Here is a 26,680-nt window from a genome sequence, read left to right on the forward strand (position 1 = left end):
TAATAATGGGCTGGCTCACCCACTCCAGCAAGCAGGGAGTCAAAGTCAGACTCCCAACTTAAAATATAGAGAAACCCGATGCTCCAGCCACTTCTTCCTAATTGCACAATTACTTTATGAAGCACCAGGGATGGAAGGCTACAGTGGGGAGGGGCGGGGGGGGAGGTGTGTGGCTTTTTTTCAGTGAAGCGAGGTTGTTAAGAAAAGTCACAGAAGTAATTACACAAGTCAAAATTATTTACTAAATGAAAGCCATTCTTCACCAAGGAACCTTTATTTATTTTTTTATAAAGGAAAAAGGCAAAAATTGGATGATCCCAGGATGGTGAGGACATCATAAAGCAACAATGGAATTAGTCATCAATTATTACAGCTTTTTAATTTTCAACTCAAGAGAGGGCAACCCATACTTTCCTTAGGGTTTTAAAACAGCAGTATTTTTGCTCTTTACCGCGCCTTGGATCTGAGATGTCAAAGTACTTTACAAACAAATACCTCCAAACACTTTGGGATTGAGGCTTTTTACAGATGGAGAGCAGGGCCCAGGGAAGAAGCGATTTGCCCAAGGTCACGGCTGAATCAGAGGCACAGCTGGAAACACTACTCATGAATACTGGCTCCTGGAGTCGGAGCTCATCAACACCAGCCTGCCACCTCCCACACACACCAAAACAAAACCCCAAAGCCGGAAAACAGCAGCAGGAAGAAAAGTCACCTGCCCTCCACAGCCCAGGGTGTCCACACTGACAATTTGCTGTACACATTGGAAGCTGGGTGTGCAGGTCAGATATCTCTACAGATTGCCATTGCTGGACCCAGGAGAATCAGTCATTAATGAAAGCTGAAAGTGCACTCTGCATATTTGGGCAGATCAGCTTTCCATCCTGAACCCCCAGGTGTATATGTCAGAATTCTGGGCTTCCAGGAGGCGTTGATGGTTCATGCGACAGTTTGCTCTGCCTACGTGGCAGGTCTGGTTCTTTTCTGTGGTGGCTCCCTCCAGAACTTGCTCTACGTGCTCAGAGTTGCAGTGCAAGATTCAGAGAAGACACAGTTAACAAGAGAGGGAGAGAAAGAGGAAAAGAAAAGAAGGAAGACAGAGGAGAGACTGCTTTGAAACCTGTGCAGGCCCTAGAACCTCTTTTTGTGAAGCCTCCATTCCACACTATGTCACATACATTACAGTCCCACGTTGAATACAGTTTCTGATTATTTACCAGTTACGTTAGGTTGCAGTTTGCTGATGACAACGTTATGGTTTTGTAGATATTTAATTAAACATTTAATACATTTGATTTTACAGTTTTCTTGCCTTCCCTGGATTTTAGAGCTCATATATATACATTTTTTTCTTTCCAGGTCTCAGATATGTTCACAGGCTCTTGAAATGTTTCTATGGCATAGGCACTGTGCTTTCTGACCTTAATGGATAAAACAGCTTAGAGAGATAGGAGAAGGGAGACGTGGGGAAAAAATGATGTTGACGATGACAGAGCAAGAAACAAAATTTTAAAAACCAAACCCAAACAAAAATTTAACGAAGCATACAGAGGGAGTTCTCAAAACTTTAAAATTGCTGGTTAGAAAGAAAAAGGAGACCCAGGGCTTACCAAGATATTTCTAGGAAAGAGACAGACACTTGAAAGACCCATCCAACCACGGATGAAAAAAAATCTCTCTCTTATTATTCAATAATTTATTGAGCACAGGGCCAGATACTGCACTTGGCTTCGGAGATACAGAGCTGGATCAGATACAGTCTCTACTCTCAAGGAATTTACTGTTTTTATTGAGGGAGACAGAAAGGTAAACAAACAGTTCAGATATGTGATAAGGACACAAATTGAGGTAAGCATGAGGAATTGAAAAAGCACAGAGAAGCAACCCGAAGGATGCAGAGACATTCTCAAAAGGAAGAGGACACCCCTGAATATTCAAAGGCACAGAGGTGGGATAGGGTAGGGGCCAGGGGCCAGGGGCAGTGGAGGATCACGGGGTGACACTGAAAGTCCAAACTGAATTGATGGCAGATTGTGAGGATTTGGATTTAGGCTGCAGTCAAAGGTTAACCAGGAGTGGTTCCCTGGCAAGGGAGGGACTGGTGATGGGGCTGGGGAAGGAGGAGGGGAAGCCAGTCCAGAGGCTGCCACATTCTTTTGTTTGAAGGTAAAGGGCCTGGACCAGGTGAGTGACATGGAAATGATGCATTCAGGTCAAGTTTGATAAGCATTAGGGGGGCAATGGGCAGGAATTGCTAACCACTGGAGGCAAATAACCCAGGTTTCCAGTTTGGGAGACTGATCATGCTATTAAATCAGATGGAATATAAAGGAAGAAGTAAGTTTGGAGGAAGCTTTTCATTTCCCCAAGCCTCAGGATCCTAAAGCGGGTGCCATGCTAGGGGGGATGATGTCCCAAAGATTCCCCCGAAAAGTTGCTGGGAAAACCCAGCAAACACTTATTGGGTGTAGGGACACAGAGTCCGGATAGGTTACGAGTTTCCTTTCGGGTCCCTCTAGCCAAGACAGAAACACAGCTCTAGAAGCCCAACACTAGAAATCTGTTCATTCTGCCTCAGAAGAAAGGGGCTTGAAGTGAATAGAGACAGGGAGGGGGTGTGATAGATACTGCTAAGGCCACGTGGAGTGCAGGGCGGAGGCTCTGCTGTGATTCATGGTTGAAGGGAGTTTATTGGAAGTTAGCTAATAAAAGCTCCCAGCTATACTCAAGCATCTGTGTTCTCCCTGGCTGGCAACACACCCTACATAATAGTTGGTGTGATGGCAGAGTCGAGTGGAGACACAAATATCTATCCATCACACCAAATTCATTGGGTTAAACTCCCATCACCCAGAGCTGACCCTTTCCTTCCGGAGGAAGTAATGAGCTAGAAATAAGTGCTATCGGAAGCTGAGTCTAAGTAAATCTGTAATCACAGACATTTCAAACGGTAGCTTCCTTCAGTTTGGGCTTTTCAAACAGATGGATACTCTACCATGAAATTGCCAAGATTAAAAAGAGAACACTAGTTTAACACACATGGCTGGGGAAATGGCCGGGGCCATCTACAGAGCAGGATTCCCACATCTTGGCCAGAGACTTGCTCGGCATTCATGGGAGGTAAACAGCCCCAAAGAAAAGCAACTGCATTTCTTTCTTGGTCTTCCATGTTGGCAGAGGGGAGACAAATGAGGACACTCTGGTTTGGGGATGGCATGAATGAACCACACATGTCCATAAATAAACCCGGAGCCCTCCAAACACACTGCTTGTTTGTTCACACAAAAGCCAGCCTGGCAGCCCTCTGGCCCAGCCATGTTCACAGTTGGATCCTTAACGCACTGTGAGTGTTCAATCAAACTTTTAGTGGTGAAACTCTGGGAGCAGAAAGCCAGCTAAGCCCAAATGGTCCCTTTGCTTTTCCATCTTTTGTGGCTGCCTGGCTGTGCTCTTACGGGTTTTGTTGTCAACAAACTCCTGGCTTGCCTTTGAGCACTCCAAATTATTGAAAATGACTACAGCTTAAGACTGGCAGGATGATTGTTAAAAACAGCCCTGGCATTAATCATAGCTTAAGAGCTTTTGGAAAATGATTCTAATTCAGAAGGGGTGGCTTACAAAGAGCCTTGTCGAAAGTGAAGCAGACATCAAATTCTGAAAGGCAAAAAGCCTCCTTGGTACCCACACCTGGCTTCTTCTGCAATCCAGTTGGCAGAACTGCATGGGGGGCACGGCTTACCCCACCAGCTCACCCCATCTGAGACCACCTTGGGTTTTGCCCACGAGTCCTGTATCACCCCTACCTCTGATATGGGGACCTTGAGATGGGAGAGACTTCAGGGAGCACCAGCAGTTACAGTCTTCCTGGCAGTCCTGGGACTAAGGAAGAGGTGGCCTTGTTTTCTGTCAACAGTTGGCATGCCTTAGACCAGTGCTAAAATAAGCTGTGTGCATAGAGGCAGCTGCGTAGGCAAACACATGGTCAGCATTTGCAAGGAGCCAGGCAGGGCGACGAGCTAATACTTCTGCCTTTTGCCTGCCTGGCACAACAAAGGAGAATGATTTTTGCCATCAGCATTCTCCCTATCACGGAATCATTGCACAATTTAGTATGATTAATGGTTTCCATTTAGGAGAAGCTGAGAATGAAAACAGTGGGGGAGTGGTGGCACTCGCTGGGGGTGTCTGCGGGTGATACTAGAGTGAAAGGGAGAGAGAGCTGGCCGTTGCCTGCCAGCCTGTATCTTCCAACCTTTACTTCCAGGCACGACTGGGGAGACACGGTGGGGCAGAGACACATGGCTTTTGACATGCTTTTGCAGAAACAGTCTGAAAGCTGCAAACTTGTGAGGCACTGTTTGCTGTTTCATTCTTGCATCCTTCCCAATGTTTGTGACTGTGAAGCCACTCCCTTTTACCTGCCAAAGGGAGTGCCAATCCCAGAAGTTCCTAACTAAGGGCTGGGGCTGAGAGTGGTCAGGGCACAGTGATGAGGATAGTGGAACTAACTACACCACTTCTTGACATTCCTGATGGCCACGCGGGGATGCCACACAGGGAGGGAAGGACCCCACCCATGTGCTGGGACTGTAGGGGTGGCCTCCAACGTAGCCGTCTGTCTCTGGAGCACCCAGCTGGTGGTAGACCTAGTCTCAGCTCTCATCGGGTGGCTTTCCTGGGAGTTCTTCTTCTCCCCTCAGTAGCATCCTTTTATTTCCACTTCTGTAGGCTTCTTTTTGGGTCTCACGGCTGCTGCAGGTGAGTGGTGAGACAAAAGGTGCCATAGCCAGGGACTTGTGGGTGCTGATGGAAACCAACCAGGAAAACACAGAGAATTCAAAAGGGTCTGCATTTTTTTTTTTTTTTTTTTTTTTTTTTTTAAGGCATAGCCTTTGTAACTGAAGCCAGATAGAGAGAAAATTGGTGATCTTGGCTGGGGCTAACGTGACTCAAGGCCCTTCTCGATGCATTGGTGTCTCTGCAAGGAAATCTATTATTTTCCATAAACTGTCTTAAGCATCTCCCGGGCTACATTTCTGGCTGTGTTAAGAATCAAGCCATCAAGAACAGCTGTGAATGTTATACAATTTCAGCAGCAGCAATGGGCTTTGGCAGGGAAGTAGGAGCAAAAAACCCAAGTAGGACATTTCAGTTGACAGTAATGGCATTTTCCCTTCCTTGTCCAAACGATAAAAGATTCATGTTCCTAATTGCAACACTATAGCTGCCCTCATCACTTTATTCTGGGAGAGGAGGTTAGAGAAAACAGGCCTAGAGAGAGGGAGAGAAAGAGAAAGAGAGAGAGATGGATAGTAATTTCGTCACTAGCTAACAGAGACTGATTAGTGCAGAAGATTCCCTTCCATAGCAATACTTTTTAATCAGGTCTGCTGTGTCTGGGCAAACAGCTTTTGTGGATTAGCTAGACTTGCACTTGCCAGCATCCATTGCAGGTTTAAACGATGAAATACACAACTACAGAGAAAACAAACCAAAAAGAGTAATAAAGTCACACATTTCAATATTCAGCAACCATTAAGGGATTTAAATATTTGCTTGCTATTAAAGGCCTGCATTAGGCTCTTCCAACACCAGCTCTGGAAGACTGAAATATCAATTACGGATCAATTTTCCCCCTAAGTAAACACTAATGCAGGATAAACAGTATTAGAAGATGCAATCGTAACATTGCTGACTTCAGGATGGACTTCCTGCTGGTAACAGCAAGTTTAAGCCTGGTGATTAATTAACCTGAGAAGATAGCACTTAAGGAAGATTTGAGGCGGTCACGTCTGAAATATGACTGTGAGCCTGTGCACGTCTGGAGGGCAGCTGAAGTCCCGGGCCCAGAGAACCGGTTGATTTGCCCCTCAGTAGTGGTTCTCACCTTCCCCAGATCAACACTTCGAAGGATTAGGAGGGAGTAAAATGGGAGGCGCAGGTAGGTGTGCATGTGTGTGAGAGAAAAAGCAGTAGACAATGTCAGGTTCCTTGTTGGAATACATTCTGCATTTCAATAGGCAAGGCTCGAGTTGTATTTCCCAGCACTGACCACCAGGGGCAGTAGACATTTTATGTTTTTTGGGAATGAAAAAAATAAATAAAAACATAAAAATGAAACAAAGTTTCCTGTGTACTGAAGAGGCTGGAAGCTGAGGTTTGGAACACCTGAAAACAGAGAAGATTCTTGCTTTCAGGTCTCAGTTCAGGGATGCTCATGTGTAATGATGTGAGTGTTGGGTGGGGGGTGGTGGGGGGGGACTGAATCCTGCAGTTCCTATTAGAGGCACATTTCAACATTTTGAGATAAACACAGATAAGGCAAGGACTATAGTTTGCATTTTTAAAAGAGGCCATATTGCATTCTGAAGGCCCCTCACAATATATGATAGCAATACTAAGGCTTTGCTTGGCCATTACCCAAAATGATATTCCCTGATACTATTCCAGTGGGTCCTTGAGAATGATAGGGCCAATCGCTCTAAACTCAGGACTGGCTGGCTTGTCCCTTCACGGCCAACCTGAAAGCCACCTGTAGTAAGGATGGACATGCAAACATCAAGGTTTGAAATACAGCATCGGTGGCCCATTCAGATTAAGTGTAACGTAAGGCTCAGTCAGCCAGGTGCTCGACTCTTCTCCCTTTAATCAGCTGATACTTGCTGGGTGACTACTGCGTGCCTGACAGGAACTTTAATATGGTATTGACCTACAAGGTCATGGATGAGCCAAGAGTCCCTTCTTTCTTCTCCTGTACGGGGGGCCAGCGCTTCAAAAACTATACATGTATGGCTGTGAATACAAATTTCACCCTGAAGGAATGTGGCTGCCAGTTCTTCATGACAAAGGGCTGCGTATTTGGGATCCTGGCAAAAAGGTGTATTAATCTTGGGCATGATTTTATAATAAAACAAAAATACCTTCACTTAAGCAGGGTCTTTCTACCTGTAACACAGTGGCCACATGGTTTCTTTGAGGTTCTTGATGACAGAATCAAAGGAGCATTTCTCCATGGAGCAAGTCCACAGCGGTAAAAGAATTACATTTCAGGTAGACAGAGGACAGTGAAAGATTGCACCAATTAACACCCGCATATCACCTCAGGGTTCCAGTTGATGTATTTGGAGAATGCCAGGCCAAAACATTTGTGAAAACTCTCTGGGGGAAACGAGGGCCATTTTCACTCTCGTACGCACTCTTCTCAAATGAAGGAGTGGGCAACTTATCAAGATCCTTTGAGCGGGGACGGCTTCTAGCACCTTCTCATTTGCATACCCTGTGGAGCTCAAAAGGCAAATGTACAGCAGTCACCACCTCCTGTCTGCCTCAGCTCAAGGAACTTCTGGGACTTTTTTCTGTAGGGTACAGCTAAAGCTGGAGCCTCATGCTGCAGACAAGAGGGAGAGGGGTGGGGAGACTAAACATACTGCATGCCACGTGGCTTGGAATAAGTCTGCTAATGAATGGTGAAGAGAAAAGGGTCATTAAACCTTCTAAGTCGTGGTTTGCAAGGGCATGATGTGTCTATATGCAGAGGAGCCCTCAGAGCTCCCTCTGAGTAGTGACCGCTTCTTCGTAGCCCTGGGTAACCTTCTATCGTTTTAGTCACCATTTGCCTCTATCCTGTGACTGACATGTAATGAACAAGTAGTGTGTGTCTGGCACCTTTTTGGCTGAGCGCTGACTGCATATCTCACTGATCTTTCCTAACAACCTTCGAGGCTATGGTGATGTCCACCTTGCAGAGCAAGAGACTGAAGCCAGGTAGGCTGGGCTACTCACCCGAGGTTTCACTGCTACATGGTGGGACAGGGATCTGAATGCAGGCAGCCTCTCTCTAGTGTGTGCTTTTGATCCTTATTCTATCTCTCTGGGTCTTTTTATAGAGATGCAATGAATGAGTACTCCCTACTGCTCCTTGCCCTCTGGCAGAGGCTGGGAGAGGTCACTGAAGTATCGAGTCCTCTGCCCGGACTTTTCAGTACAGCCACAAGACCCATCCCACCCTGCACACGGAATTGCTTTCTTCTCCCCATACAAATCAGCAGGCTGGCTGGGCTTGTTGCCCTCTGTACTTTTGACTCACATTCCTTCTCCACGAAACCATCCTTTAAGATCCAGCTGGGGTCCCAGCTCTTTGTGAAGCTGTCTAGGGACTCACCAGCCTTCACTGATTACCCTTCTCCAGAAAATTCTCATAGCACTCTCTGGGCTTCTCTGTGTTCAGTGGGGCACCCATGGCTCAGGGTCACTTCAAGTTTTCAGGTGATGTAACTGATGCTCTACTTGGCCTCCAGAGACCGCCTTATACTTCTCTGCATCCCTCACCATGCTGGACATACAGCAGGTGCTCAATAACTGCATATCTGATTTTTTTTTTTTTTTTTTTTTTTTTTTTTTTTTAACAGAGACAGGTAAGAGACCAGGCCAGGATGGAAGTGGCTCAAGGGGAGATGCACAGCCTTCAGTCTTTCTGGAGCTTACCTTTGCTTTTCCTATGGAACTTTCCCCATGACGTGGCCAAGGGAGAAAAGGGGAACTCATCAACCACAGCTGAGGGGATGGTGGGAAAAGGGCACTTTGGGCCTGGCCAGACGTTATCTGCACATTTATAAGATCGGCCACCATGAAGTGTAGTCATTGCTCACTTCAGCCTGCAAGGCAAGGACGATGACAACAGAGCAAATCCTGCTGTCTACCCAGGCCTGGAAGTCTCAGCAACCTAAACAGCAAGTGAGAACAATCTTCTGCAGGCAGCCAAGCCAGTCCTCCACAGCTCACGTCTTCTTTTTATGAAAGGAGAGAGAACTTTCAAGGAAGAAGGCAGAATGAATTGTTAAGACACAAACTCCCAAAGTAAGAGACAGGTGGAGCAGCCAACACAGGGAAGTTGGTGAGGGTGGGGGGGCGGTGAGAGAGGGGATGAGTGCGGAAGACACATCTACGGGAGCGGCCTGTTCCGGCGGGCCCGCCACGACAGCTCGCACACCTGCACAAATCGCTGAGTCCACGTGGGAGCCCAGACTCAGCCACGGCACAGCACTTGGCTCACCTGTCCACTGAGAGTGGGGAAGAGAACAAGGACAGGAAGGATGAGCGGAGAAGGAGAGAGAGCGCGGCCCCCAGCAACCCAGCCGGCAGCATGTCCTAGCATCTACTGCCAGCGTTCCTGGCCCCGTACATGGTCCTAAGGAGGAAGCTGGGACCAGAGGCCCATCTCTTCTCTCACTCGGAGGCGTCCATAAGAAGTCCATAAAGAGATTAAAGGATCACTTTGTAACATTAATTTTTTTTTATTAAGAAGACAGATATTTTATAGTACTTCTTTTTTTTCTTTTTTTTTTTGTAAAAATGGTATACATGAACCAATACAAAATGCGAATGGGAACATATGGATATGGAGTTTCTTACACTGTAACATTGTCCATGTACACCTTAAAAACAGAACTGGCCTAAAGGGAAAAATAAGACGTCGGTGTGACTAAAGAACAAGCTTATTTGGCATCAATTATACATCCTTCATTATTTTATATTCCTTTAAAAAACACAAAAAACAAGTTTGTTCTTTCTTCACTCTAAAAAAAGTGATCAACCTGTACAAAGTAATACTCAACAATACATTTCAAACAGTGCACTGTATACTTAAGAAAAAATACATAAACCAATATACAACTAAAATCCATAATTTCCTGTTTTTGCTTTGTTTTATTATTATTTTTTCCAATGTGTGGGGCCTACACTTTGCAATCTACCTGAGACGGAAAACACCAATCGCAACACATGAACCTGAGACATGTCAACATTGTAAGCCATAAAGTTACATCAGGAACACTGCACTACTGTACACTTTTCAAAACAGAAAGATGGGAGGTCCCAAAAATGAGATGCCAATTCTGTGAGCAATGGTGTGATTTTTTTTTTTTGTTTTTGTTTTTGTTTTTCTTTTTTTCTAAAAAGAACAACTGAAAAAAAACCTTTCAACAACATGCTAAATGATTCTCACCCTTTGATATGATTATACTATGGTCGGAATGGGTGCTAAGGGCTCGGAATAGAGCTGCAGATTATAAAATTCATTGAAAAAGGGATGTTCATTGTGGCTTTTTGTCTTGGTTAAGTGCCTAGGGATAGGGGAGGGGTAAATAAAATGCTGCTCGATAATGGATTTTCTTTTACATACCAGTCCGTTCCCAAAAGGCCCCCATATTGCAATGGTTCTATCAAAGGTTAAAATAAAGACAAGAAAAATAAACATGTTTTCAAATAACAAAGAGTTGACACTTTTTCCCCCTTAAATAAATCAGCATAAGTTTTCCACATAATGTAACAATAGTAAAAATGCACCTTGCAAAATCCAAAATTACTCACTGAAAATGTAATAGAATATATATTTATATATATATATAGATCTATCTTTTTTGATGCCATCTTTCCATAGGGACTGTTAGCTGGAGTCTGGAGTCTTACCAAACATATGGTAAGAGTTTAGTTTCTGTCCTTCAGGACTACTTCTAGATTTCCTAGACGTTTCAGTGAAAATCCCCACACTTCTTTCTTTAAAACATGTAAATGGTAACGTGACTCCTCTACCTTTTCCCGAGGCTCCCCATCTAAGATATGTTCAAGGTCACTGATTTTAGTAGCTATGCACTATGGCTGCCATCATGCGAGGATCAGTAATTTTTGGCAGATGGTTCTTAAGGCTGAGGAAAGAGGCCAAGGCTAGTGTATGAAAGGTAAAAAGATAAAAACACTCACATTTGAGTTTTGATTAAGTAACTGAAAATCCGTACATGCTGTTTTTCCACCTCTGCTCTGACCTATCGAGAACTGAGAGCGACAGCAGACCAGTGTGAGAACAATACCAGCCCTTCTTTTGTACCTCCTGCCTTTGTCAAGCCAAATCTGAAGGAATGAAAGTTTCACACAGATTCGAGTTGGAAATCCCAGCATGACAAATATCTGTAATATACAGTACATGCAGGCCACATCCTACTGCCTTCCTAACTAAGCACAAAGGAAAAAAAAAAAAAAATCAACTCTGTCCCATTCAGTCATTCGCACAACAGACGAACTTGCTTTTTCCTACAAATTAGTGAGAAGTAAGGCCGATTGGGAAAGGTGGATGGAATCATTTGGAACAGAAACAACCAGAGCAGAACTGTATTTCCCCCCTCCCTACTTCCCCTCCTGTGGCAACTCAAAATTTGTCCACTTATATAAAAGGAACAGACCTCACCTGTCAGGTCTGTTTAGGGCATGGAAAAAGGAGGAGTCCTTTCTGCCCCAAACCTTTCTGGACAGCGTAGGGTATCTATACTGAGCCGTCTACAGATACAGAATTAAAGACAGTGAAATTCAATCTCATTGTGACACACCTCACTTGCAGATAACCCTGTACAGTAATGTAGTTCCACAGCAAACAGAACATTTTCTGAATCACAGTCTAATTTTCTAGTCTTCACTGCTCTAAGTATTTGAAACATGGGCAGCAGCAAAGAGTTTTCATTGTTTGTTCACCCAAATCTTTACGACAACAGAGAAGAATGCATTATGGATACACTAAATTCTGAACTATGAAATCTAAGCTGTGCTGGTTCTCCTTTTATGAAACTGAATTTGGAACAGAAAGCAGTTACCATAAAAATAAACAAAAGTAAAAAACTAGAACAGAAAAGGGAAGGAAAAGAGTCTAAGGAATCCCAGCAGGCAAATTCCAAAATGGGAGATTTTGGAAAAAATCCGAAATTGGGGTAGAGGGAGGAAATAAATGTGCACAAAGGGGGAAAAGAAAGGAACGCAACAAACAAACAAAAAACAAGGCACAGAATTTTCTGCAATCTACTGAAACTAAATCCAAGTATCCAAGTTTGACTTGGTAGGAAGAAATAAAAATTAAACAAACAAACAAACGAAAAAAGAGGTGTCAAACAGCAGAGTGTACTTTCCAAAGAACATTTTTTTTTTTTTTACACAGCAAATCCCAAGCCTTCCCAGTCTCACACCTTTCCACCCATTCATAAAAAAACACACGAATTTCTCGCAAGTTCCAATATCACTGTCTCTTTATCATCTAAATAGGGCCAGTTGGACACCTCATTGAAACAAAAAGGCTGATCTAGATGAAGTACTCTTTCTTTTCTTCGGAGTTGTTCTGTCCTCCTTCTGCATTGATTATAGCTGTGTCTGCGTCTGCTGCGTCATCGGCTCCTTTGGCTTCATGAGTGAAGTATGTACCTGAAAGATGAAGGGGTAAAGCACCGTGACTGTCTGATGGCCTCTGTGTAAAGTGGTACAGAGATGGCAACTTGCTTTATGGCCATCATCAGCCGAAGTGGTGTGCAGGCAGCAGAGGGGAAAAAACAATTGGAAGAAGAGAGCGGGGTGGGTGAGACAAAGGGGGATCCGGGGGTTCCAAAGGCACCACTCCAACTGAACCGCTGCGATATAATTCAGCAAATGAGACATTAGAGCAGTGATTATGACCAGAGGATGTCAGCAGAAGAAGACGTGAGTGGGAGCTAAAAATGCAGAAAGCTGGAGAGGGGCTGACTAACGTATAAACAGTAAACACCAATGACCAATGACCAGATATGTGCACGTACATTGTTAAAGACCAAAGCAAGGAAGAGCAATTAGCCAATAAATGAATTAGGGCCCTGATGATGCTTCTGTTGTCACCTCAGCTCATTTATTTGAACCACCGTCCCGTGTCTATATGAATCATTGTTGCCTACCCATAGGTGAGAAGGTGCTTGAACTTGCACAAGTATGTTTGATTTTCCTGTCTTCCACTTCAGAGTGAGGTTCCAGATTGAGAAAGAATTTGACATTATAATAGCAGGGATCAAGGTTTGGGATCTGTCTTAATGAGCAAGTAGGTCTCTCTCATCGTATAACTCTAGCCCGGACCCGGATTCATGGATTTGCTAATTGGCACAGCCACTTTATAATGACAATAGACAGACATTACACAGCTGGGGACACTCTTATCACCAAATCCCAACAGTTTACATGGAGAACAACAAAGACTGCACCTCAGTATGCTATATAGGTAGAAGTTAAACTGCCTACCATAATCAAATAATCTTCCTCCCATTACATACTGTATTCCTGAAGAGTCTTCTATTTAAAAAGGTTGAGACATTTGCTATATTTTCAGGTTTTCAAAGTAACAAATCTGAGAAAGCAAGAGGTCAAACGCTTCTCAGTATCCTTTTTTCTTGCTGCAGAGTGACACACATGTTCCCCTCCCCTGGTCCTTCACAGCTGCTGCTCGGATGCTGCCCTGCTCTCTGGCCTTACCTCCTGTCTCTGTCAAGCTTACCACCGAGAGGCTGGGAGCTCTTGGCCAAACAGACTGCCTCCTGAGTGTGGGCAGAGGGCGAAGTATGGACAGCTCTGATCGTCCTAAACTGTTTTATGCTTGAGACAGGCACTCTGTATCCTAAAGGTGCCTAAGTACCTTAGACCTCCACTGCTGTGCTCAAGGGACCTTCCCCCAAACCCAAGTTCAACAGTCAAGCAGTATGCAAGCACCTAGAAAACCCCGCAAGCTCATTGCACAGTGCTTGAGAAAAATAACTGAGAGAGACAGGGGCGGACAAAGAAAAGGAAGAATAAATTACCAAGAGGGAAGAAGAGGATCAGAGCAGCATGGGGCAGACAGGAGGGGCATTGGAAAAGATGATTGCCCATCCAGACTGCACAGTTGATAAGTGTGATGATTAATGGCAATTTAAATCAATTGCACTGATAATTTTAAAAATACATATTTATGCGGCTTTTAAGGCAAAAAATTTTCTTTAACCTGGGCACATCAAACCAAGGCAGTCTTCTCGCCATTGTGACCAGCTTACACAGAGTCTGGGGACAGGGGATAGGGGGAAATCCTCTGCCTCCCAGAAAACAGTAGGTTGTGGATGTGCTTTTTCCATGTTTATCCTTTGCGGCTTCATGCCACACCTTGCACACCAGCCTCTACTTTATCATTTTTCCTCTATCCCCAATTATGGATGGCAGAATAACAACTCTACAAAGCTTTATATTTAGAGAAAATCCAAATCAAGGAGTGCTACTCATCAACTCCCAGAGTCCTAATCAGCGGCTGCTAAGATTTCTGGTTTTGTTTTTTTTTTTTTTTTTCTCTTCTCTCTCTTCCAGTTTCAGGAATCAGATAGGCCGTGTGGCCACATACATCAAATTGCCTATCAAGGACAACCTTGTAAAGTCTCCAAAGGCAGAAGCTGTGGGGACACGCTGCTTCTGTCTGCTGAAGCTTTGCTTACCTTTATGTCTGGCAAAATAGCGCCCCAGAATGATGAGCAAGCACAGCATGGCGAACACCACCACCGCCACGACGCCACCGATCACGGCATGATCCACTGCCCTGATCGAGCCTTCTTCACCTGCTCGGGAATCTGTTAAAATCAGAAGAGGAATAGGGATGTAGAGCTTATTACAAGGCACCAGAAGCCCCGGCGACACTGTCTCCAGGGTCAGAGGGTCACCTTCTTTTTTAATGGAGGAGTCACAGAGAACAATCGAGATGGATCAAGTTACACTGAGGTAACAGGCTGACCTGTCCAGTGCTGAATCGATCTGTTCTCCCCACGAGGCAATTTCATGATAAGCAGCATAGGAGGGTTAATGCATGTGGAACAAGCTTAGGGAGGCAGGGAAGGAAGAAATAGTCTATCCGGCCCTGACCTAGTCTTAGCGTTCACTCTGTCTGTATCCAGTTGCAGAGCCTAATTAAGGGGGCTGACCTGACTATTTGAGGGTGCTCTGAATGACACCTTTAGGCAACAGAAGGGTACAGCATCTTTCTATAGACGCCCAATGACTTTTATTATCTGGTAGATTAGGGATATGCATAGGAGAAGTAAGGTGCTCAAAAGCCACAGTTGCCTAGAGATAAAACAAGGATTATAAGACTAAAGACAAATGACAGGCTTGCTACATTTAGGATGTATGAAGGAGTAAGCCTCAATTTAAAACCTAAAAACCTATTTCAAAAGAGACAGCAAGGAATAATTGTCCATTGCCACCAACGGTTTTTATTTTATTTATTTAACACCTTGCAATGCAATTAATTTTCCTTTATAAGCATCACCCCCTCAGGATGTCTTCTTCTGACTGAGGAACGACATGTTTGGCTGGGGAACAACTCCAAAATGAACCCAGAATGAGCTATGGTGATGCAGAATGGATGTATGGCAGTGTAAACAATTTTAATTTAGGAATGTGGCTACATCACCCCTTGCTGAAATCCTAATGGCATTTGAGATTTATAATGTAGTAAAAAACAATTATTCTCCCGTTGATTAATACATTAACATTTTGGAGTGGAAGCTAAACCATTGTCTTTTTTTTTTATTGAGTCAAGTACGACACCTCCATTAAAATGATTTACTAGCTGTACCTTACAATTTAAGCACAGCAGCAACAGAAACGGTAAAAATCTTTTAACTTTACATGATTTGTGAAGTCATATGTGAAGGATTTACCATTTGAATCTTTCAGTACAAGAAGCACATGGCCTATAAATCTGTCCCCCTTGCAGTTGCTGGATGCCTAAGAGAAATGCATTTCACCAGGAAGACTGAGAGTGCAAATTCAAGTCAATTTTTAAGAAAGATTTATCTCTGTCTCTCTCCAAAGAACAGAGCAAATCTCTGAAGCCTCTACCTCTAATAATATTTGAAGTTTATCGATCAAGTGTACAGATCCGTGACAGCTAAAGGTAATGGTGCTCTTTTGAGCCGAAACCTGATACAACGCTTTCAGCAGGAGGGCATGATTTACACTTTCTATCGATATTTCCAATTCTGCTCCGAGATTAAGTACTGAAGGATGTGGGGAAATAACTCGTGACTGAGGGTTCCATGAAAAGTGCTTTAATTAAAAGAGTTTAAATTTTAAAATGGAGTATTTAAAGTGTTTCATTAAGTTATCTTTGAAAGGACTACAGAAAAACCAAAACCAAAACCCAAACAGAAATGCCAAATCAGAGGCAGCAGCAGGTCGCCCAGGACAACAGGATGATGGGAGTTTAATTGGAGAAGGGAGCTGGGTTGGAGGCAGAGTGCACTGCAGCCAATTAGCCCGCTCTGAGCTGAGCGAGCCCCTCCAGCAACGTGTCTAATAAGCTCAACTTGAAAAGTGGTGGAGAGGAATCTCCCTCCTCAGCCAAAAGTGTTGCCAACTGCAGATGCTACAACCCCCATTGTCTTGAAAGTCATTTCAACAAGGCAGAACTCGGTCAAGGGATTTTTTTTTTTTTCCTTTTTAGAGACGACAAAGCTCGTTGAAGGGGAGCATTCCCCGTGGGGTGCTGCTGGACACGGGGTGTCTGCTGGAGGAGAGCGCTTGACACACTGGAGATGTTCAGTCCAACTGCACAGATGCAAAATTGCTCATGGGGGACAAAAGTAACAGAAAAGCCAGCAAGTTGTGTTTTCCTTAGGGAGCTGTCAAAATAGGGAATCTTGGGGGAATGAGAATTAACTCATCTCCAATGGCCATGAGCTTCAGACCTATTAAAATTTATGTGTCTTTCGATGAACTCTGTATGTTTTAAAATTGGGGGAGGAAAACAAGTGAGACTAGACATTGAGGACAGGGGAAAGTTAGGCACAAGAGGCAAGAGGTGAAGAGAGGTTCCAGGAAGACTGAGAACAGAGAGAAGCTTCGAGAAGCTGTCCAGGACAGTTCTAACCCATCTAGGGGAAGACACTATCTTGTCCACTCTTAATAAAAGACCGCCTCCTCTCCATGCCTAGACACAGGAATATTCTGGAAGCCTGAGGGGGGAGGGGGGAGGGGAGAGACAGAGAGAGGCTCTGTGACAAAGAAAAACAAAAACCTCCCTCAAACAAAAAGATCTCACGAGGTATATGTATCTGTGAGATTAATTTCTTGAGCCGAAACTCCTTACTTGACCTTTGCCCTCCATGAACTTTGAGCTAAATATGCTCAGTGTTGCTATTTTTCCCTGCACTTTGCCCAAATTAAACTAGAACCTTAGATGTTCTAGTTATCTTCCCCACCCTCAAGGACATACATATTTTACAGATACTTATTTATAAGGGTAATCTCTCCAGCTATCTTCTGATACCCACTTTGATCAGAAAGTTTACTACCACCAGTTAATCACCAAGACATTTCTCCTGCCTTCAATTACTGCAGATGGACACAGAAGGTAACTGATGTTTAATTTACAGGGAACACTGCCGGTTACGAGCGCCTCACCGCCTCTTCCCACCCCCACTCCCACCTCCTGGGTTTACGTGGGAGGTGTTAATAGAGTTGTGCCTGTTCACTGAGTGCCTCTGTCTTGGCCTTCCCTATGAAAAGCAGAGCTGTTTCTGGAGTCATCTCAGTCCGTTCTTTTATTTCCACGTGTGGGGAGGGTGGGGGAGTGTTTATAATGCCATGGATTGGCTCAAGGCAGCAGGGCCGGGGTGAGCTGCCTGCACCTGCGGGCTGTGCCTCACTCATGACATGAAGCAGCCGTGCAAGATGCTGCCCAGGGGGGAACTGGGCTACTGGAGTCGCACGAAAACCAGAAATGGAAGGAAATACCGAGCACTAAGAGAAGCATGGCTGCGACAAAGTCTGTCAGCTGCTTGACCTTTCCTTCCATTCCCAAGGCAAGGACTCTAACCAATTCCATGAGAAATGACTTCTAAGTGGGAAAGCTATGGGTTTCCCCATGAGCCACAGATCCTGGTCCTGCAGGGTGCAGACCCCTTCTTCAGGTCCCATGAAGTGCTGGCTTTCCTGGGGACATTCTCTTCAGATTCCCGGCTCATTTTCTGAATCGGGCAGGCAACGAAACCAGAGGCAGATTCTACAGCTGCCCCTAGCTTGTCAATTGAAAAATAAATGTGGGAGTGGAAAGCACTTTTAAACATGCCTGATGCTCAGGCATATGGACATCACTTCGGTTTAGAAAGCCATGTTTTCTTGTTCCCTAAGAGGCTACAAGTGTTCCTCTTACTAGTAACAAGTGTAAGAGTGTTTCTTTTCTGGGACTAAGCCCTGCCCCATCATCCTGAAAAGTAAAGCCATGTTTTTGCTTGGTGAATGGTTCCAGCATAAAGGTTATTCCAGCCTCAGTGAACCAAGCATGATTGCATAACACAGTTCAACTGGAGTTAAGAATCTCATCCAAATTATTTCACATGTGACCTCAGGTGAATTAGGCCTAGTCCTTGAATGATTCTGACTTGCAGATGAACCCTGTAAAGGTTATTGTGTATCGCTGTGTCACCCTTCACTCCTCCTCAGAGGTAGAAAGCTTGGTGTCCTTTTGGCAAAAAGACTGACCTTGGACTCTGTAGTCGAGGGCTTCAGGGCGGGCAGGCAGCAGTTGCAGGGAGGTGTTCCTGACAGCTCACAGTTGTGGTACAACCCTCCCTGCCTGTCGTGTCCCATCCCGCAGCCACTTCCATGGCTCTAAGTGTGACAGATAAATCATGAGGTGTTTAGTATTCGTGAGTTAGCTTTTCTTTTGGCAAAAAGCTGAAACAACTTGGCTCCAGGTGAGAGTTTACCAGCTGCTTGCAGAATGTTAAGTTGGCCACTACTGCTTGGGTCACAGCTTCAACAACCCTGGGCTCGCTTTAGCATCTTAGAAATTGCGGGACAGAGAAATCTCAAAGAAACTCCCAAGAGTGATGCCCCAAACTGCTCAGATTTCTTTACCTTGGGCCAGTTGACCTGGCCCGATCCATTCCTCATGGGCAATAAGAAGGGGAAGTTCTAAAGGCAGTAGTTCCCCAGGGCGTGACAAGAAAGGTGACTGCTAGTGGAACTTCAGTCTCCTTTCCCCTCCTTCTAGGAGACTTTTCTTTCTCTACTTGTTTTCATTCCTCAAACTCCTTGCCAGAGTCGTCTTAAACGCAGCACTCTGGCAGCCATGCTGCCTGTATTAAACAGGGCTCTGCAAGAGATCCTGGTTTCTATGGCTACTTTACCACCTGGCATGAGATGTGTAGCATAAACCGCCATGCAAATGCCATAATCATGGATCTGTGATAAGCCTAGAAGGCTCTGCTGCCAAAGTGGGGATCCATGGATAACTGGAGAGTGGCTAGTACATCCTAGACAAGCTCCTGGCAAATAGGGACTTTGGCAGAAGGACTCACTGAGCAGAACCTTCACTGCAACTGCTGCCTGCCCACCCTGAAGCCCTCGGCTACACAGAGTCCAAGGTCAGTCTTTTTGCCAAAAGGACACCAAGATTTCTACCTCTGAGAAGGAGTGAAGGGTGACACAATGATACACAATAAAGTATGCAGCATGAGGCATGACAGCCACATTGCACTGGGTCACCCTCACATCTCAAACATCCCTGGCTCAGGCTGTAAGGCACATTTAGCAACATGGCGCTTAAACGCACACTTTAACTCTTTTCATAGGTCATAAACTACCTCAGCTCTCATTTTTACGTTTAAGCCATGGGGAGGTTCTAACGGTATTAGTCTTCCTACTTCTGTTTAGGGACAGTTCAGATGCTCAGCGTTCTGTGCTTCCCCCATCCGTGGATGACTGGAGGAAAAGAATTGTTGCGGACTTTTTTGCAACAGTTCTGTCACGTGGCTCAGTTTTAGTTCCTTTCCTGGGTGGAGATCTTGCTGGACAAGTCAGTTTAATTACAAACTCTCAGAATCGGTGTTTGTAATGGAAATGCTGCCTCCAGCTTCCTAGGGTTGTAGGGATTAGTCTATTTCAGAGAAAGCTTAGTGACTATGATGTCATTTGTTACTTCTTGCTAGGAAGAAAGAAAAAGCCTGGTAGTGGATTTCCCAAATCTGAAGCAAAACCATAATCTGACCTAAAAAAAAAATGACACTTAAGAAAACCTGGCACCATCTGAAAAATGTAGCTACCCATTCTCATCATCTATTGTAGCTCCCGTCCATGGCAACAAAAATAAGTGTGCATTTTAAAAAGCACAACTTTATTACTGAAGGGGAACAAACTGAATGGCATGCGCTGACAAAATGCCACATTATTTGCTAATCCTAATATGTTATTCTTCTTTAAGATTTGCTTTTCTCAGCACCAATTCAATTATAGATGCTACAAATCCTTCTGACATTTAATTCCCTCTTGTCAGAGAGTAGTAAATGTATACAGTACATGCACAGCTTTCCCATTAAGATGTTAATATATATTGGAGCACACTAGCCTTTATGCAGCATAACCTTTCTTTTCTGTCTTCTTAGAAAGTGGACGAGAAGGAATAAACGTAAAGCAAGAAAATCATGAAGACTCCCATATAGCATCCCAGGCATCTACTACTACACGTCAGCTGCATTCAATTCTAGCAATGTAACTGCATCTATACTAACGTTTCAAAGGAGCTATGTTAAGCTACTTAAAGGAAAACTGCAGTGATCATCCTCATGGTGCCACCCAGAGCTCAGTATGTGTTCATTTAAATTAGAAGTACTGCACACAGATTTTGGCTGTACCTTGTCACTACTCAAATGATCAGGACTCAGGGCTCTCTTAGACTATCACTGGCTACATTGCTTTCCAGAAACAGGCCTGAACAGGGGACGAGCTAGGAGCTCATCTCCTGCATGGTCCATTGGAAAGAGCACTGGACTTGCTGTCATTTCTGGGACAGAACTTGAGCTTCATTACTTTTCTCTGTGACTTCAGGCAGGTCAATGAGGCACTCTGAGCCACTGAGTACAATTACGTACTTCACAGGGTCACTTTGAGAGGCCACTGTTTTCATTTCCTGAGCCAAATGAAAGTGCCTATTTGGCTCAGGGCTTGGAGTATCATAGGGACCTGGTGTTTGCCAAATTCAAATCTCCTGTATTAGAGCCTAAGGAGGGCTTTTCCAGTTCTTATCACCGACCCAAGGCAAATAATTACCAGTTCGTTAGGGGTAAGCGTGGTACTGCATACTCAGCATTGCCCACACATGGTAAGATGCCCAATAAACACTTACTGAGTTGAAGTCACCAAGTTCTTTTCATTTATACAGAATTGACAAACTGTGTAACTAATGGCTTAGCTGTCCTTTATGAAGGTCAAGGCTGTGGGCCTGGCAGGTGAAGGCCGTCTGATTCAGGTTTCGATTCGGGTGTACCATTTGAGTATCAGGATATTAAATACTATTGTAGCTAAATATGAAAACAAGTGTTTTGGGTTTTTTCTTGTTGATTTTTTCCCCTCTCAAATTCCTTGATTTAGTTAATTTAACCATGAGTGGAAATGACTTGATCCAACAGGATGCAAGATTTCTCCCAAGGCATTTAACACCGCCAGAGACACCAGAAGTCGTGCTTGAGTCCACTCTGTTCATCTCATGATAGCACAGATTTAGAAATGTGATCATCTTTTCCATTTTAAGCAACAGGAAGGCACTGAGGATGACACCAGAGTTTCCCTTAAAGGAATATACGCCTGATAAACAGGACAGTTGTCGAGTATTTCCAAACATACATTTCCCACTAGAATCTCTCTCTGGAGAAAGATGCTTCAGTGGACCTCAGGCATTTGGGGGTGTGAGGAGGATGGATTAATGAATATGGTGAAGTCACCCCAAAGCAGTGTCCAACCTGTAGAACTAGAATTCACACTCACCGTGGCCTGCCAACTTTTTAACTTTGGAAGAAAAGTTCCCGTTTGATGGTCTCCTCCCTTCCCACGGTGGAAACAGGAGCATGTTGGATTATGAGAAAGACCAGCAGCAGGATGCAGTTCAAACACATCGTGGGGAAGTCGTGGGTGAGCTGGCATGGACCCAATGTGATTTCTTCAGTCTACTGCCTTGTATGAAACTCAGTTTTAAAAGGGAATTGATGTGGTTTAACCTTTTCCAGCCATCACTTTCCCATGGCACTTAGGGTCACCTCCCAGGGGAAACTGATCCCATAATTTAGGGGAATCAGTGGGACAACAGTACTAAACTACTGAAGCAGAGTTTAGGTCTTCTTTGAGGAGAAAGAGCTTGATTTGATGCTGGGAAAAAAAATCTTCCCAGGTTAGTCAGCACATTGCTCTATGCCTGATGGGCTGCAGAGAGCCTGACTTTTCCCTCATTCCCCGGGTGCGCACAGTGAATTGAAAAGGGTCAAGAGGATTACCAAAGGCTCCAGCACACAGGAAGCTGTGGATTTCATAGGGGGAAAGGTGGCCCCTGCAAACCAAAGTCCTCTATTTCCTCTAGAGCCAGGAAGACCCATGCTTCGCTTCTCACTGTCTCCTAAGCAAACCGTTTAGCCGTTTGGGTCCCAGTTTCCTCATTTATAAATGGAGACCAAGAGCCCTTCCTTAACAATCTCAGGAGATTTTCATGAAAATCTTCTATTATCTGGCTCATTCTCATCTATCTGGGTCTTCCTGTCCCAATGGCCTTCCCTGGTAAACTTTTCTAAACTGACCTCCACCTTCTTCCAGCCCCAGCCCTCACTTCCACTTTATCCGGTTTTATTGTTTCACAGCATTTGTCACTGTCCAAGATTAACTCGTGTTTTGGGTCTGTCTCCCTCAGTAGGGTGTCGCGGTAGGAGAGCAGGGGCCCTGGCTCCTGGACGCCATGGCAGCTCCAGCTCCTGTTGGTCTTGTTCACTGCAGCATCCCTGGTGCCCAGCCCAGAGCCCAGCACAAGGATCTCAAATAATTTTGTTGAATGAATAAAGATCAAACGAAGTAATATGTGTGAAAGAGCTTTCTAAGTTACAAAGTATGATACAGATACAAGCCATATCATGCCACACTTTAGATTTATGGGCTATAACTTAAATATATCTATACAGCTCATCTGGTTTTTAATGTTTTATTATCATTATTGTTGTTATTACTCTACCAAGGGAATAAAATAGCCTGTTTGCCAAATCTGGGCCACTCTTTATGTGGGGGTTAGGAAAGAGTTCCCCCTAAATGGTACAGCTACTGACAGTTTCTCACACACATTTCAAGTAAGTTTAGCCAGGACTTAAGACACTCCCAGTAACCGGAAGGCCATATATCCCCACCTCCGGGACTGATAATCTAGATCAAAAGAGCTTTAAGTGCTCCTATTAGCTAAATGTAGGTTTGTTATTTTATTTATTTTTTGAGATGGAGTCTCTTTCTGTTGCCCAGGCTGGAGTACAGCGGCGTCATCTCGGCTTACTGCAACCTCCACCTCCTCGTTCAAGCAATTCTCCTCAGTCAACCCCTGCTCCCCCGCCCCCAAGTAGCTGGGACTATAGGTGCATGCCACCACGCCTGGCTAATTTTTGTGTTTTTAGTAGAGATGGGGTTTTGCCATGTTGGCCAGGCTGGTCTCGAATTCCTGACCTCAAGTGATCCACCCGTCTCAGCGTCCCAAAGTGCTGGGATTACAGGTGTGAGCCATCGCGCCCAGCTAAATATAGGCTATATTTTGAAGCCGTGTTTCTTGTATAATCCATTTAGGGGACTGCAGTTGGTTCACCTAGATTCTTCCTAACACCTAGATGAGGGTTAGCAAAGCCATTTAGAATTGCCCTCCGAGGCCCATGCTTTCTTTTTTGGATCGTGAGGGACATGTTGTAGGAGTTTTCCAGATCACTTTCTTGTCTGTAGGACAAGAGCTGATAACATGTTTTGAGGAATCATGACAGCTCTGGAATTTCTTTTTGGTGCCTTTGCTTCCAAATCAGAAGACTGATGGATTTCTTGAACTGTGCTGGAGGGCCATTTTCTGGCACACTGTATATTTACCACCTCACTCCACTAAACAGTTCCCCAAGGCCCCTCCACTGCTGAAGGGAGAGAGGCAGTTGGAGACATTTTGAAAAAGTTTTAAAATAAAATAGAAGGATAAATATGCTTAAAGCTATTCTATTCCACATGAGTGGCAATAACCACCAGCTGTCACCAGGAAAGAGCAGATGTAATTGACAAAACAATTCAAAACTCTTATGGATCCATCATCAATAAAGTTAACACCCAAAAAGTAAATGAAAGGGTTCAAAGTAGAACTGGGTAAGCTCCCCAGGCCTGCCAATAATTAAATCACTGAACTACATACGAGCATAATTTCTTTATGCAGATTAAAGAGGAGGATCAGCTGGGCAACTTGCTTTGCTGGGTGAGAATGGAGCACCATATGTTGCTTATGAAACTGTCATTAATGAAGGTAGCACTGGTGCGTGGGGGAGGTCGGGGCAAAGGGGACAAAAGGAAAATAGACCATCATTATTTGGAAGGAAATTGAGTACGTAACATTTATCCATAATATGGAAAGGAGGAAATTTCTACCCTGATGCAGCAGGGAATGGATGATATTATTCATTACCACAGTTTAGCATTAAATGTGCAACACCTACTCTAATTTATTGATGGACTGTTTAAGACGGGTGTTAACCGGTTTGTCTTGTATTATAATTGAATTCAGTCTCTAGGCTACAGAAATTTGAGAAGTTCATCCTTTCTCAATCAATATGCTCCCCTTCAGTGACCCATTTCAAGACAGCTTCATAAAAATAATGTATTTTGTTTTAATAAATTTAAACACTATGACAGCTGCTCAATTTTTATTGGTTGTTTTTTTTTTCCCTTCAGATGTCTCTTTGCTGCTGAGTGAAGCCAAGCTCACAATCAATAGTAATTGATTAATCAGCATCCCCTTCGAACAAAGGTGCTAATCAGTTTTTGATTAGTTCATCAAACCAGATGCAAAGGCAGCCCGGCCCAGCCTGATAGTTCATCAGTGTTCTACATGACTTACGGCTCCTGAGCAATATATGACTGCAGTGTTCCTGCAGGGAGTGGGGGAGGGGGACAACATAATTATTAATTTAACTGAATTATTATGAACACAAACAGTTGTTGGTTTATTGCTTCTGACTTGGGTGATTGATAGAACTGCAGCAGGGACCCATCTGACATGGCGCAGTGCTGAGGCCCAGAGTATTCCTAATTGATGATGCTGGTGGAAGGGGTGGATGGCTGATTCAGTCACATTTTCCTAAAGAGGAGAAAAATGACTTTTGCATATCTGAGTGATCCTTGTCTGGCTATTGTGCCAAGAGGGATCAGGGCCAACACACCCACCAGCTTTCTTAGGATCTTTGAGAAGATCCAATTGCCAGGGCTACTGTATCAAAGAGAGTTGTTTTCTTTACGGTCAACCAGAACTGAGACTGTCTATTACCAGAAATGCAAGCAGAAATTGCTTACTTCCAGCATCACATTTTACGTAGGGAGGACTTATCCACCCTTATTTTAAAATAAAACTAGGTAAATGTTTTTGCAACTTCTCCAACTACACCACAAAGAAGTGGCAAAAAATGAAACACTCTCTTGATTGGCTGTCTATCTTTCTAATCTATTTATTTATCTATGCATTGGGATTTGGAAATTCATTCATTCATCCAATAAGTGTCAACTGGGTACTTAGTACATGACAGGTGTACAACAGTGAACAAAACCAGCATGGCCTCCTGGAGCTTCCAGTCTGTAGAAAAATAAATCCGACAGCTAAACTCAAACTACAGGCTACATAACAGCAAAGTGAAGATATCCCTGAGGTTCGTCAGAAGCACGTAGTTGGCAATAAATCAATTGCACTTTGAAAAATCGAGTAGTACTATCTTATTCTCTCACCGGGTCAGACTTATAGTTAAGGACTGCACCTCAATAGCCAACTATTAAAAGGAGCTTCAGTAAAAGCGCCTCTGGAATCTTTCTTTCCAATAGGCTTGAGTAAGTGTCTACAGTCCTATGACTTAATTTCTCCACTGCAATAACAAGAAGGGCCTTGCTTACTGACTTATTAAGTGATGGATGGAAAGGTTTAAGCCATAGCTGGTTGGCAGTTAAGTCCCACAACATCATGGAAGCTCATATAATTGTTTAGCTCTGACCACTTTAAATCTCCTCCCTCCCTCCTTTGTAGGATATGCTTCTTATTCTGGATTAGTAACACCTAAATCCTGGAATCAAGCATGAAACCTACTTTTGCAAGAGCTCAGTGTGCTGTGAAAGAGGTCTGAGGTGGATAATTAGTTTACATCATGGTGTGTGACAAAACAATTGCTTCCCCCTCCTCCCTGCCCTTCCCCACCCCTGACTTCTAAGATAACTACAACATGGCTATTCTAGTCCCCTCCACAGAAGTAGGCAGTCAATGAGTTGCTTGTTTTTTTTTTTAAAAAAGATCTTGTCACATAATCCAACATCCTTAAATTGCTTTGTAATACAACAAAATTTCTCCCGACACATTATATATCTAGGACATAAACATTATTTGAAGCCACTGAACAGAGGGGCTTTAGTACAATCCCAAAGGTAACTTGTCCTCTCCTGCGTTAATTAAATTGTCCCCATTCCGAAATATAAATATCGCTACCACAGAGAAAACAGGTGAGTGGGTGACCGGGGAGGAAGACAGTATTGATACAAATTTGTTTTTTGTTAGTCTCAAAATCCACACTGATTGCTCAGCAAACCAAATGGCCATTTTGTAGAAGTGGATAGAGCACCCACAGGTTGGACACTGCAGTGCCTTACCTAATGACTAGCCCTTACCTGAGAGGTCCTCACTGTCCAGTTCTTCTGCGGAATTGGGCAACTGAGTAAGGCCTTACAAGTAAAAACAAATCGTTTTTCTTTTCATTCCTCGAGGGACATAAACAAAACACTTAAGAACTGAGGATGAATTTCTTTAAAAACATGA

The 26,680-nt window shown here is 44.0% G+C and overlaps 1 protein-coding gene across 13 annotated transcripts in view, besides 1 other annotated feature; it reads right to left on the reverse strand.

Annotated features, from left to right (window-relative positions):
• Positions 266-808: an enhancer, noted in NCBI's record as "NANOG hESC enhancer chr11:115035341-115035883 (GRCh37/hg19 assembly coordinates)". NCBI's record gives its function as "activates a minimal SCP1, AML or CMV promoter by ChIP-STARR-seq in primed H9 embryonic stem cells {active_cell/tissue: H9 hESC(primed)}" and the evidence as "EXISTENCE:reporter gene assay evidence [ECO:0000049][PMID:30033119]".
• CADM1 (cell adhesion molecule 1) overlaps positions 4,881-26,680 on the reverse strand; it is a 335,180-nt gene continuing 313,380 nt past the window's right edge. For 8 of the 13 annotated variants that reach the window (NM_001098517.2, XM_005271494.4, NM_014333.4 and 5 more), the window contains 2 exons: positions 14,289-14,420; positions 4,881-12,237 (listed from right to left, as the gene is read on the reverse strand). In NM_001098517.2, the coding sequence (NP_001091987.1) occupies positions 12,119-12,237; positions 14,289-14,420 (251 nt within the window). In that variant the 3' untranslated portion in view covers positions 4,881-12,118. Of the gene's footprint in view, positions 12,238-14,288; positions 14,421-26,532; positions 26,587-26,680 lie in introns of all 13 variants that reach the window. The other 5 variants (NM_001301045.2, NM_001301043.2, XM_047426695.1 and 2 more) reach the window with 1 other exon arrangement.

This window comes from Homo sapiens, chromosome 11, assembly GCF_000001405.40.
Source record: "Homo sapiens chromosome 11, GRCh38.p14 Primary Assembly".
In the NCBI taxonomy this organism is placed as follows: Eukaryota; Metazoa; Chordata; class Mammalia; order Primates; family Hominidae; genus Homo; species Homo sapiens.